The sequence below is a fragment of the Homo sapiens genome, chromosome 10 (genome assembly GCF_000001405.40).
Source record: "Homo sapiens chromosome 10, GRCh38.p14 Primary Assembly".
Classification (NCBI taxonomy): Eukaryota; Metazoa; Chordata; class Mammalia; order Primates; family Hominidae; genus Homo; species Homo sapiens.
In genome coordinates, this window is record NC_000010.11 from 129,895,226 (window position 1) to 129,908,893 (window position 13,668).

At 46.9% G+C, this 13,668-nt stretch overlaps 1 protein-coding gene across 16 annotated transcripts in view, besides 2 other annotated features; it reads right to left on the reverse strand.

Annotated features, from left to right (window-relative positions):
* Positions 1-13,668, reverse strand: part of EBF3 (EBF transcription factor 3) — a 129,042-nt gene that overhangs the window by 59,993 nt on the left and 55,381 nt on the right. The gene's annotated exons all lie outside the window — the stretch shown is intronic.
* Positions 704-1,608: an enhancer, noted in NCBI's record as "NANOG-H3K27ac-H3K4me1 hESC enhancer chr10:131694193-131695097 (GRCh37/hg19 assembly coordinates)". NCBI's record gives its function as "activates a minimal SCP1, AML or CMV promoter by ChIP-STARR-seq in naive H9 embryonic stem cells {active_cell/tissue: H9 hESC(naive)}" and the evidence as "EXISTENCE:reporter gene assay evidence [ECO:0000049][PMID:30033119]".
* Positions 1,609-2,512: an enhancer, noted in NCBI's record as "NANOG-H3K27ac-H3K4me1 hESC enhancer chr10:131695098-131696001 (GRCh37/hg19 assembly coordinates)". NCBI's record gives its function as "activates a minimal SCP1, AML or CMV promoter by ChIP-STARR-seq in naive H9 embryonic stem cells {active_cell/tissue: H9 hESC(naive)}" and the evidence as "EXISTENCE:reporter gene assay evidence [ECO:0000049][PMID:30033119]".

The following is a 13,668-nucleotide window of genomic DNA, read 5'->3' on the forward strand; positions in this document are numbered from 1 at the left end:
GCCTCACCAGCAGGAGTTTGGGAAGCCACCTGGCTGCTCTTAGCTCCTGATTGCCCTCTGCGAAGTGGATGGATGCCTCTCCCCCAGCCAGGCTCCAGAGGGAGTGGACGGGGAAGGAGGCCCTGCGACAAGGCTTCGTATGCCTCCCGGCACCGAATCTACCTGAGGCTCGGGTGTACCAAGAGCGGGCTCTGGACACCACACTGAGCTGGGCTGCGGCCCAGCTACTGGAGAAGCTCCCTTGTTCCCATGGGCAGCTTCTCCTCCGAGTATGGGTAAGGCATTTCCATTCCCCTTCAGACCTCCACAGAAAAACCCAATGAGTATCAGTATGTCATCAGGGGACAAAGGAGTGAATCCATACTCTCAAAATTCGACAATCAAATCTTACCAGAGGAGTCCTGAGGACCCTGGTAGGGGAGTGGCCTAAACACACCTGTGCTTCTCCACCTGGGACAAGGGCTGGTGTGCAGAAATGCTACTACAAATAAACTTGTATCGATACTTGTGCCATTTTAAAATGATACTTTTGATTACTTTCCTATCATGGACAAGGACATGACACAGATTATTTCTCTGCACATATTAGTTAAAAAAATCCAGCTGACTTTAGAGTTTGTCAATATCAGGAGAGGTAATTAACTGTTTTGAAAGAATCCGTAATGTGGGACTTTGTAATGGCATCATTTGGAGTCAAGTCACAGATGCGGCGTGTGGAGCCATACTGTAATTAGGAAGAAATGCTGTACAGGTTTTCTACTAATTAGCAAATTATGCTGAAAATAGCATCAAGCTAATTAACAGTTATTATGGCATTTTTGAAAGTATGACTTTAATTAGCAAAGTCCTGACGCATGCAATTTCAAACTTGTCCAGAAAAACACAGGACATGATCAAGAAGCTACAAAGATTATTATGAAGAAGTCAAAATGCAGGGTGGGGGGAAGGGGCTTTTATGATCCATCTGAGTTCCCATTTAGATGAAAGAGCATGTGTATCGTCCAACTCTGCCAAAAAAACCCAGGCCGGCTGCCGGATGTCAGGTGGCCTCAGTGGTCATAGCAGCCACCATGCAAAAACAAGCCCGAGCTCAGCTGGTGCTGGGAAGATTCACTTATTCTACTTGAATGCACATTAAAAGAGGGACTGAATGAAGCCAAGCAACAAGACATAACCTGACAGCTCCGCTCCCGGCCACGCGGCCACCGTCAGCCACCCTGGCCTGGCGTCGCCCGCCATTCCTGGCCCCTCCGAGCAGCTGGCTGGACGGGGCGGGGGCCGGCGTGGGCCGGGTGTGGGGGTGCGACAGGCCCTTGGGGGCTGCCCCTGTCCCTGCACAGCGAGTGGGGGGCTGGAGTTTGCAGGACGTGCTGGGGCGCGGCCTCCTGGCGAGCCTCCCGGAGGCGGTGCACCGTGCAGCCCTTGAGCTCCGCTGACCTCGCCGGTGCCTTTGTCTTCCCTGCTCCTCCCGCTGCTCTCCTCCTTAAGCATTCCCTTTTGTTGTCTCAGAGAATGAGAAAAATGCCATCTCTTCCCAAAGCCCCCTGTAGCTCCAACTCCTGAGAGCTGGTGACACGCCCAGCCCGTAGCCACCTTTCGCCCTGCGTGAACTTGGCAGGGGAGTCGACCATTAAATACTGAGCAGAGGCTCAAACCGAGAGAGAAGCCTGCCCACGCCGCCACCCCAGGCCTCCTCTTTATTGCCTGTCCTTCATAGAGAGGGAAAGAGCCTTGTAGCCAAGTTTTGACATGGCCACATATGGCCTCTTCCATCAATCTGACTAATCAAGCATCGAGGACAGGCACCGCCAGCCTGATTGCCAGCCATGGCCATCTCACTGCAGGCAACCTGAGCAGAGATGGGCCTAGACGGGCAGTTGGAGCTGGGAGACAGGAAGACAAAGCCGGTCTCCTTTCGGGGTCCTGGGATGAGCACTGTGGTCACAGACACACTCGCGGTGTACACGGGCCCTCCACGCAGCCAGGAAGGGGTTCTGCTCTTCCTGTCCAAGTTCCTGGGGACACCTCTAGTCCACTTGGGCCCCACTTTCCTGCAGGGACCTAGGAGGGTTGAAAGGAGATGAGGCCCATGGCTGTGTGGGTGAGTTCTTGGGGGTACACCAGTGGCCCCAGGACCTTTGTGGAACCAGAGCAGAGCCCAGCGGTGCCACCCATCTGGAAGGCGGTGCTGCAAAACCCTGAGGTGCATGGCCTCTTCTCCCATCCACCCTCCCCTGCAGACTGGCTCCCCCTAAATCAAGGGGGGCCAGGCAGACCTAACAAACAGAGGCAACACCTATGCAGGAACTTCCTGGGAAAATACAGAGGAAACCCAGCACACGACCCTTTTATCCGAGAGGCGAAGCCCGGGAAGGTTCTCGAGGGCGCCCATTGTCTCCGAGCCTGCCCACTGTGCCTGCCTCAGAGCCCTGACGGACAGCTGACATTCTCCTATTTATTATCAAGAAGTACAAGTTTTGATGTTATCAGAGTGGAAAAACAGCCCAAATGTCAAAGCCTGAATATTTTCCCCAGTTTCTTGAAATGACATCTTACTTTCCTACATTTATCGTGACGGGGCCACTTGTGGGTATGCGAGTACATGGCGGCCAGAGGCAGATATCATTGAACTTTGTTGGGGTTTTGTTCCAGCATCCTCCAAATGCTGCAATTTCTGCCCTTTTCCTGGTGAGGAATTTCAAATAATTCTGTTATAAATGCCTAAAGCTGGGGCTGCTCAACAGAAGAGAGCCCGAGCTGACCCGTTGCTGTATTAAATTTTCATATGAAAAGAGGACTTTGCACATGCAGCCAAAAGGGCAGAGCTCAGCGCTCCTGTTGGGCTCCCAGAGACAAGCATTTTCTAGCTCTGCATGCATAAAATGAGCTACAGTAGGTGTCAGTAATTAAACGATCATGTTTCAAAGTCTTGACAACAGTACAGAAGCAAGAGAACAAGACGATAATTTCATTAGTCTGAAGAGCAAAGTCATAATTAGGTGCCTTTCACAGAGTAAAAGTCATGGACAAAAGGTACCCATCCTGCCCGGCTGGGTCTGCAGTGCAGGAGTGAAATCTAATACGGGGTCCCGGGTTTACGGGGTTCACCCATGGGCAGGAGACTGCAGGCAAAGTCTGGGTGGAAACAATCAGGCTTTCTTTGGGGCGGCTGAGAAAGGAAATGATATAGAAACAGCCTGAAAAAGTCAGCAACAATGGGATATCGGTGGGCTATTGTTATAGGGAAACCTGAATTCCTCTCCTTGTTCTGGGGACCGCCCCCCACCCCAACCCAGAAGGATGGCACCATGGCTCACAAGCACGGTTTGCATCCGTCGCCCCACTCCAGTCATTAACCACATTATAAACTGACTTTGGTAAAGTAGCATTTATTTAAAACTAAACTGTTGGGATGGGCACTTCATGGAATCATTAATGTGCAGTTTGATGTTTCTGTCAGTTTATTTATCTCTGTCTTTACTTGCTGAGGTATTTGCATATTTAATTGATCAATATGCTCCCCGTTCCTCTTGCACATCTGCCAAGCTGGTCCCAGCCTCTTAGACCCCTCATTTCTCAAAGTGACAGCTCGCCGCTGCCCCTCCTCCCGCGCCCAGGCCCCGCTGCGCCTCCCGCAGCAAGGCTGCCCGGCCCGCGGCCGGCGTCCCCTCTGCACGGCTATTAATTTTGCATCCTCGGATAACGTGCAGCCTCGAGTAAGGAGAAGACGTTTTTGGTGTCTGATCTGTAAAAAGTTCTCGAGACAGATTTTCCACACGGCTACACGTCGGAGCGCGGCAGCAACATGTGTGCGCCGGCTCCCGTTCAGCATCTGTCACTGTCTCCTCCTGCCTCCGCGCAGCCTTGAATCGGAGCTGCTTATCAGCAGAGTGTCAGAAATCCGCGCTGCCTTCTCTTCCTCGTTTAATCTTTTATTAAGAGCTACATTGTGAGCTTCTGATAGCGAATGTCCTCCACTTCATCATTCATAAATCGGAGTCGACATCAATAAGGTGACGGCACCATGGAATCAAAAGCAGCGTGGTTAACTGCCAATGAAAACGTCTTAAATTTTCTAAACAATCCGCTGGCATTTCTTGATGCCAGCAGAGTGCCACAAAGCCCCATTATGTGTGTCGGATGGTGAGGAACATAAGGAAGTTGTTCTCCTCCAGGCCCCGCCTCACCATGGACTGTGCCGGAGGACGGTGAGGCAGAGGCCGGCGCCCTGGACCAGCCTGGGTCATTTCAAACAGGCCAAAACAACAGCCAGCCATGTGGCTAAAATGTAAATAAATACAGCCTTCCCGACTTGCTGTGCGAGGGAAGCCCAGGAGGAGAAACGGACATGTCCCAGTTGCTCTTTGAAATGGCCAGATCCAGCCGGAGGGAAGGCCAGGCCGGGGAATGGCAGCAGGGTTGAACTCCTCCACAGGTGAGGACACACCAGGGGCCACACTCGCAGAACCGGAAAGGACGCCAGCACCGTGCGTGAAAAAAAAGCCAAGAAAGTCCAGGTGACAAGTTCCTATGCTGGAACCCGGCCCTGCATCTACATTCTCCTCTTCGCTGATAGCCAGGATGCTTCTCTCTCCTCTTGATTGATGTTTTAGTCTGAGCTGTCATTAGTTAAATTAATTTTCTCTCCAAGATAGTGGAATAAGGTCCACAAAGGCAAATCTTATGAGGCTGTAAAAATAGACCATCATTTGGAGGAAATTCAGATGTGTTCCCTGCTCTTGTCGTTGCTGCAGAAGAACACTTTAATTTGATATGAATTCCTCAAGAGAAACTTTAAATTAACTTAGATTTAGCTGTGTTTGAGAGATAGCAATTCAAAGCAACAAAATAAAATACTCTTTGCTGACTCCGGTGTTTCCATGTTCATGCTCCTATGTGCTCTTCTTTATTTTCTGCTCAGGCTAAATAAATGCCAATATTCACCTTGAAAGAGTCATCATAAAGTAACTCCCCTGGGATACAAAAATATCCTTCTCTCATCTTCCATCCAAACAGTGTCAGATGAAGTTAAAAGACCTGGTAAATGTGCTAAAATCTGCTTATGTGAATTATTTTTTTCCAGGATAACTGAGCAGCCATCACCTAAGCTGTCAGGATGCAAAGAGAAACGCAGAAAGACCGTTTTATAACCTAAGAGCAAGGATGGGGGGTAGGAGGGGGCTGGAGAGAGGCACACGGGGAGGGGAGGAAGGACACAGAAGCCACAGATTCCCCAGCGGTCAGCACCAGCAAGGTCCTGGGGGACATCTGGTGCAGCCTCCAGGGACAGAGGAGGCCTGGCCAGCACCGGCCCAAGGTCCTCCTGGGCAACCCCCAGTGCCCTGACCTCCTGGACTCACTGCCTGATGCCAAAGGGCCTCCAGTTCTCCTCACTTTGAGGAAATTTAACTTGAACCTCTTTCATGAGAGATCTTGTTTCCTAAACAGCCCCCAACATTGATGGTGCTGTAGCCAGGCTTTGCCTGTGAGAGCACTCATGAGGAGCACCGTAGCGGGGGTGCTCCTGAACTTCTGCATACAGATTTCTTGGCTTTTTCCGTCACAGCCTTTGACACCCATCAGCCACAGGCAACCTGGGTAGACTTCCATGGGAGGGCACCTCAGAGCAGGGTGACTGAGTTCATGAAGGTCCCAGTGCAAACCCAAAGGTCTTGGGAGCCATTGAAAGCACACATCACCCAACACCCATAGAGCCAAGTTCAGGGACTTGGGAGCCAATAAAACCAGGTATTACCCAACACCCATCAGAGCCAAGTTCAAAGGCAGGTTCCATGCATAATTCTTTGGGCTGGTAAGTCTTTTTCTGGCACGCCCTCTGATAAGAACCATTCTCAACTGTAGGATGCTCTTGACATCTAAGTGGGTCCTTCCAGGTCAGACAGTCAAGTACATCTGGAGTGTCTCATCCAAGTGGCTGTGGCCCTCTTAGCTGGGAAGAAGCCAGAGGCTGCCAGTGCTCAGCTGACATCTCCACATGACTTACCACCACTCTGGCAATGTCATAATTATGACGCCTAAACTTACCCTGTTTATTTGCAGGCCAGAGGAATGCATGATTGTTTATTTTTATTACAAATATTGATGGTAACTCACAGGCACTTACTTCATTGCCATTTCTAGTGAAATTGCCCATCATAAAATATCTCCAGAATTCTGATCCTGATTAGCTTCCAGAGCTGGTCCAGGGTGCGATCCTACCATTTGTCTTAATTTTATTTTGCTCTCCCTAACTGCACACACCACTTCAGGAATATCTGGAATTTTGTTTTAATTGTACAGCTTTCAACTCACACCACATTTCTCTTTGTGTTGAAAGCATCCCGGTGATTTATCCTCATTATTGTGTAAATAGGTTTCGGCAGTTCTCAGTAAATAAAACAAAGACTGACAGGAGGAGAAGAGGGAATTTGCTTTCCTACCAATTAGAGTAGCCTTAGGCAGTACTTTTAAGAGGAGATAAATCCTGCAAATCACTAAAATGATCCTGTCACATGCACCAAATATTAAAATCGCACAGCGGCGCCCTCGGTACAGTTTGCTCTGGTTTAATGAGTTGGGGTGGGCCTCGTGGCGAGGGCTGCAACGCACAGTTGGGGACCCTTGACTGACAGCAGAGCTCACACCCAACTGCAGCTTCCCAACCTGTGTGGCCAGATGGAAAATCACAATCCGGCGGAATCCGCAGCTTTCCAGCTAACGAACATTCCCAAATTGTCTTTACAGCGTCTACCTGTAAAACCTTTCCCCATGATAAATAAATGCAAACTCTGCTTCCTATTAGCTGAGGTGATGCTTTTAATACAAAATCTACAGCCTGTGCCTACTAGGGGAGCAACATGTTAACTTCTGCAACTGGGGAAGTTTTCGGGGAATTAGAAGTGAGTTTACTTCATCTAGCGCCACACTTAGTTCCCCACCACAACGCAGCTAGTTAGTTGTCCTCCACAACTAGTTAGCTGGGGAAACACAAGGAACTTCCAGACATTTTTTTTTTTTTTTTTACTATGTTTCAATGCCTCATCTACTTTCTCCAGCTTTGGGGTGAAGTGGTCCACCTAACTCCACGGCAAGGAAACCAATGGACCCCATGAACACTTTAACGAGAGTTGTGAGCCCATCTTCTTCAAGGCTGGTGTGTGACCTGGGGTGCTGGGTGCACGGGCGTCTTTCCATTTCCAATCCATGGCCACTGGGGTTCAGAAGCATGGCACGCTATCTGGGAGGCACATCCATATGGGACCGGTCACAATGGAGCTGTAACAGCCATCAAGATGGTTCACCATAAAACCCAGCAGAAAGTCCCAGAACAGACAACCCAATGGGCAGGCCCAGTGTTTTGCGTTTTTCAGTAACCACCTTTCTTCTCTCTGCCACTGTCAGGTCTTACCTGGTGACAATGACACTTGGTATATTGAGCAACAACTGTTAGCTTGTTACAGCATCTTTGTGAGACTCTTTATGAGCGTGTAACTAACTGTACGAAAAGAACTCCCATAACCCGAGACCCGGGGTCAGTAATGCATTAAAACAAAACAAGACACACAGGATTTCAGTACAGCAAGGACTCGTGTGGAAAGGGGTGCCTGGCAGGGCAAGACAGAAGGAGCCCAGGTGCTCTGAGCCAGCTTCCGCCCACCCTGCCCCTGGGCCTACCCAGCCTGGTAAATGCCAATTCACATCCAAGAGACGGCGGCCTCTCTCAGGATTCCAGAAGTATTTAAGATTCACAAGTGATTCTCCATGAACTCACCACCACTGCCTTCCAGGATTTGGAATGAAAACGCCTACAAGACACAGAAGCAACACAACAAAGAGAACACAACGCAATTCTGTGGCTTCGATGAAAGTCATACACACGTTTCACCTTTTTCTTGACATCTTAGTTTTTAGCCTCCAACTGAAGTTCCATTCCACTAGTATTAGATGGAACCAGGTGAAGCTGCTGGTTTTGAGCATGTACTGGTTCAGTATATACGGTTCAGTCTAATATTTTATGCAAAGTGGATATCAAAACCATAAGGCCAATTTCCAAAGTAATATTATTTTCTTTATAAGAGATGTTTGGAAGGCCCTTGGGCATAGAAATCCTTGGACTGGGCTTCCCTTGTAAGGAATGACCCAAAGTGTCTGCATTTAGTAGCTGTGGTTATCTTATTCTACCTGCTCTTTTTACCCATGTAGCATTCCATAAGCACCTGTGCTCAGTGCTAAATTTATGAAGAAAGAGATTACAAAGATAGCATCACACCCTTACAAAGTTCAGATTACATCCCATTAAACAATGTCAAATTGTCAAGTACTAAACCTATTCGATGAGGAAATGTATTAGAGAGATACTGGTGCATTGTTTTACAAATATTTGTTGAGACATTTCCTAATGGTCCTTCTCGTGGATAAAGATCCACAGAATCAGGAGTGGGGACATATTGGGCCTGGAGGAAGATGTGATTTTTGATGAGAGTAAAATCCTTGCTCCCAAAGGTGCTCTGAGAGGCACTTTCTTGCTGTCATGGGGAGTCCATGACCCCAGGCAGTCATTTGGTGGAATTTTAATTGCTGCAAAGTCATCATAGGAATCACAGCATTTTACTGCCGGGAGAGGAGTCTCAGATAGAATTCAATCCTAAAGTTGACAAATGGAGGCAGAATGATCAGCCAGTGAAGTCCCCTCTCCTTCCCATCTGTTCTTTCTGTCCTCAAAACCCTATACACGATTCCAAAGGGCTCCCTGGAAAAGTTGCTGCCACTCTCAGAAGAGGGGGTCACATGACTGAAGACCATGACCCAAGTTTCCTTCAGCTGGTTCAGGATAACATAGTTGGTGGAAGATATTCAGGCAGTTTCCTTTTTTCCTACTTTGGAATTCATGCCCTTCCACCTAGAATGCCCATCCCCAACTCATCTCTGAGGGTGTGCAGACCCTTCATCTTCATAGCCAGGACCCCAAAGCCTCCAGGGTTCCTGCACTACCCCTTGGTTAGGTCTTAACTGGTGACAATGACACTTGGTATATTTAGCAACAACTGTTAGCTTGCTACAGCATCACCCCAGAGTCATCATTCCCCAACACATTATTCTCCTGTATTATAATCATTTGTTTCTCCCACCTCCTGCCAAACATATTAAGGGATACAGGGCTATGAATATGGAGATGGATGGATGGACAGACAGATGATTAAATGGACAGATGGATGGATGGATAAATGGATGGATGGACAGACAAATGGAAGATAGATGGGCAGATGGATGGATGAATGAATGGATAGACAAGTGCACATATGGATAGATGAACAGAGGATGCATGGATAAATGGATGGATGAACGGATGGATGGATGGATGGACAAATGGATGGATGGATAGACGGATGGCTGGATGGACAAATGGATGGATGGATGGATGGATGGATGGATGGAGACAGACATCTATGGATAGAACTATATAATACAAATATATAGACACAGACATAAGATTTATATAGATCTCTCTATCCATCCATCCATCCATCCACCCTTTAGAGCAGGAATATTTTAATCACCTCAACTCAAATTAGATTTTGAATAAATATTTCTTGAATGAATAAATGAATGGATAATTAGTTACTCCTAAACGAACAGAAGCAACTCCTTAAATAGCTCCCTATATTGCAACTGCAAATTTTCATGGAGTAGGAAACAGACACAAAATTATAATCACGAGACATTTCTGAAGCAAAGTCAAATTTGTCCATAAGGTGAGGGTTCTGCCACCATGTCCATGAGATAACCAGAAAGGGCAAGGCTGCGCCTTTCAGGGATGAGTTCGTCCCACTAGAGATGTGCCCTCTAGGGTGAGGTGACTCTGGACCCCAGGGCTCCACCCTCAGCTCTTCCCTGCCCTTGTCTTTCCATCAACTTGGGGCTGGAGACTCCAGGGAAAGTGTAGCTCTGTCCTGACCTTGATGGCACCAGAAGGGCTCCAGGGTGCACTGTGCAACATGGTGGCCACAAGCCACAGGTGGCAACTAGGCATGTGGTAGGGGCCGGTCCTCATGGAGATGTGCTGTTTGTGTCCAATACACCAGATTCCCAAACTTAGTGAACAAGATAAAATTTAAAATATGTCAGCAATTTTATATTGACTACGTATTGAAATAATAATCTTTTGGCTATATGAAGGAAAAAATTCTTTCTTATATTTTATATTATAAAAATATTATCTCTTTTTACTTTGTTAGTGTGGTTACTTGAAAAATTTAATAGTCAAAATTTTAGGTGGCTTTCATGTGTGGTTTGCACACTGTTCACTGGCCACCACTGGTCTAGGGAGCAGGCTGGGTCTCTCCAAGGACTGACCCTACCTGGCCTCCCCACTCCATGAAGAAGTAGGGATGGAGGATCCTCCCAGGCCCTCACACACCATCTCTAGAGGATGGCAGCCTCTGGGAGGCCACACAGCTCAGCGAGAACCGCAGCATCAGCCTCTCCAGGACGGTGGCGGGGAAGGGAAGGGCTTCCCAACCGTTGCAGGTCCTGGGAACCCTGGAATTGAACTCGCCTCCACCCTGCATGGCAACCTCCCCGCTGGAGGCTGCCCTCGTGGGTTGGGCCCCCGAGGTGACATTTGTTTCATTAATGCAACGCTCAGGCACTCAAACACTGCTTCACATTCTACAGCGATTCCAAAAGTGATTTCCACAATATGATTTACATACTAGCCGAGTGTAAATTTAGAATAATTTGGCCTGAATGATCCTTACTAGAATAGATGGCCACAAGAAAAGAATGGTGAATAAAAGCAGCCTTACTCAGAATCTAAGCAATTTGCTGGCAAATACAAGCAGCATTTCCCCAGATTATAATTTACACTGTATTAACTGTCAAGAGCGCTTTTGAGAAATATAGATAACAATTCAGATGCAATCGATAGGGAGTGACAGTTGATTTCAAAGCTTAATGCAAGACAAGAAAGAAATGACTGGGGCATCAGCTCTGGAAGAATAAATTTGTTTTGTATTTGATTTTTGTGTTAAATTTATTACTGCCAAGAAGAGCTCTCTTTCAATAATATTAAGAACAAGATTGTGAAATTGCAACATGTTCGTCTCCCACAGTTTTCACAGCATTGCCAATATAAAATGATGCCCCTGTTCAGTACTATGTATAGATCCCATTAAACTGCTGCAGATTCCTCTAACTTTGAATTTCCGCGCCCTGTACAGGAGCCCTCTTAACCCCTCTCTGCACTGGCAGGGGGCTCTGTTTGGACCCTCAGGTGGAACGGGCCCTCTTCTGGGTGCTGTCACACCCTCCTGTGAGTCTAGGGAGAGGACAGTCCCTATGGGACCAGAGGACGCTTCTGCTTAGTTCTGAAGTGGCCTTAACAATAGGCTTATTTCTAGAAATGCCTACAGTTGGCTGTTTCTAAGATCAGAGAGTTCTGTGAAAACAAAAACTTGAAAAAAACGTCAGGCTAAACCTCAATTGTTTGATTGAGAAGGGTTGGTGTATCCCTGTCATAGTCAATAGAAGCTTTTTTTTTCGATTCTGTCAAAATGTCCAGTGTATATAATCTTAGGGTTTCATGTTCCTCTGTGCAATACCACAAGAAACTTACTTGACAAGTACCAGGGAAAAAAAAAATTTCCCTTTTAGCCCAACTCTATTATACTCCTTATTCTCTCCCACCAGCTGGGGTTGCCTCTCCGCAGCCCTGCACACTCGAAAACCCACCAGCATGGCCAGAAATGAAATGATGAAAGTTGCCACAGTTCAAACTTCTCCATACTTCTCACTTATGACATGATTGATTTTCCTTCAGAGTGCTCAAACACAGGATTGTCTCCCTTCTTTTTTCACTGTGGAAACAGCTAATGTATACAGCCTCGGCCTGCCAGAGAAGGGGGAAGCGGCTGACATGTAGAAGAACAACTGAAATGAATACGGATGAAATTTGAAAGTGCAATTTTCCATCTGTCAATCACCTTTCAAAGGGACCCGTTAACCACCAATCGGGAGACCCTGGGCGAGGGCGCCCCTGTTTGCAGCTCTCCACGCCAAAGGCCCCTTGGCCTCATTAATCAAGATATTCACTGCTGATCAAAGTTTTGCACAGGTATCCTGCACTGACTTGGAATGCTCCAGGAATATTTTATTAGGTTTCTTGAGATGCTATTGATAATTTATATTTTGAATTAAAACAAATGGTCTCCTCTTAAACAGAATTTGATTAGGTGACGACAAAATCTATTTCTCTCACTCTGGTGATGGTACGTGGTGGATCCTTTCCCAGAGCTGCCTCAGAAGGAAATGTGAGGTGCTGTGGCATTAATAATGGATAGTCACCCCAACCCTTCCTGGCCGCAGCACCAAGATGCCTCGAAATACAGCCAATTAAGGTTTATTTAATTATTAAGGTTGAATAAATAACAGCGAAACATGTTAAAAATCTTTCAGTTTCAGTCAATCATAATAAAAAATTAATGAGACTGGATAGAGAGCCATAAAAACTGATAGACTGCGATCGTGAATTATAAATTGGTATTGATTTTTTCCTTTGCAATAACACTCTCAGGTAATCGTACGTTGTCGCATGTAAAGTGCACTCTCCTGGTTGAGACTAATATTAACTATCAAATATAGATGAGACGGAGGCATTTATGACACTTCAGATATCACAAACAAAAAGCAAAAAATACAATTTGTGGAATAATAGCAGCACTGAACAGAGAATCCTAGGGTGTTTATGGGAGCTGGCCGGGACCCCACTGAGCCATGGATCCATAAGACACAGCTACCTCATTCTTCTCCTGCCATTTCTCCTCTGATATGTTACCTTGTTAGTATCACTAAGAAAAGCATAAATATTTTTTATTATTTGTGAGGCTCATCCCGTCTTGCTTAATAGACAGGCCACATGGAGTTAAAGCCATATTATATGACCTGGTGCAGAAGTGATCATTCAAAAACCCAAAGCACATATTTTATACCGCCTGGCTTTATTAATTCTAAGCCCCCAAGAAATAGCGGGAGGATTTTCCAGCTTTCTGTTTATTGAAGTAACGTGGAAACAAATAAGACATTTCCCTAGGCTAGCTCAGATAAAGTGGACAATTACTATTGGCATTCCGCATGTAAATATTTAACACTTCACAGCTAGTTTGCACCTAAATACCCATTAGATGTTGCTACAAGCCTGGACACCATTTCCCAGCAGAACTACATGGGCCGTCCTGGGCAATGGTTATTGGATTAGGGCGAATACAAATCTCATTCCAAATAGCGCTGGAAGGGGACACGGGCTAGAGGAGACGGGATATACCTGAATAGGGTGGCTTCCTTGAGTGACACAAACCAACTCCTCCAAGAAAACTCAGACAAAGCCAGTGTCGGCGCAGCCACCGCCGCTGGCCCAGCTAATTGATAAGCCGCGTTGCAGTTCGTTAGTGGCGTTGATCGGATTTCCCTTGTTTGGGGGAAGCATAGAGGAGACATCATGGACACAGGCCAGCTATGCACACATGTGGCTGCCTGTCTGAGTTCAATTTCCGCCTCCTTTCCACTGTCTGGCCTGGAACAAACATCGAGAGGTGCAAGGCCACCATTTTTTTAGGATGCGAGTGATCCAGTTTACACCAATAAGTATGGCCCATAAGTCGACTCTTTGCAAAT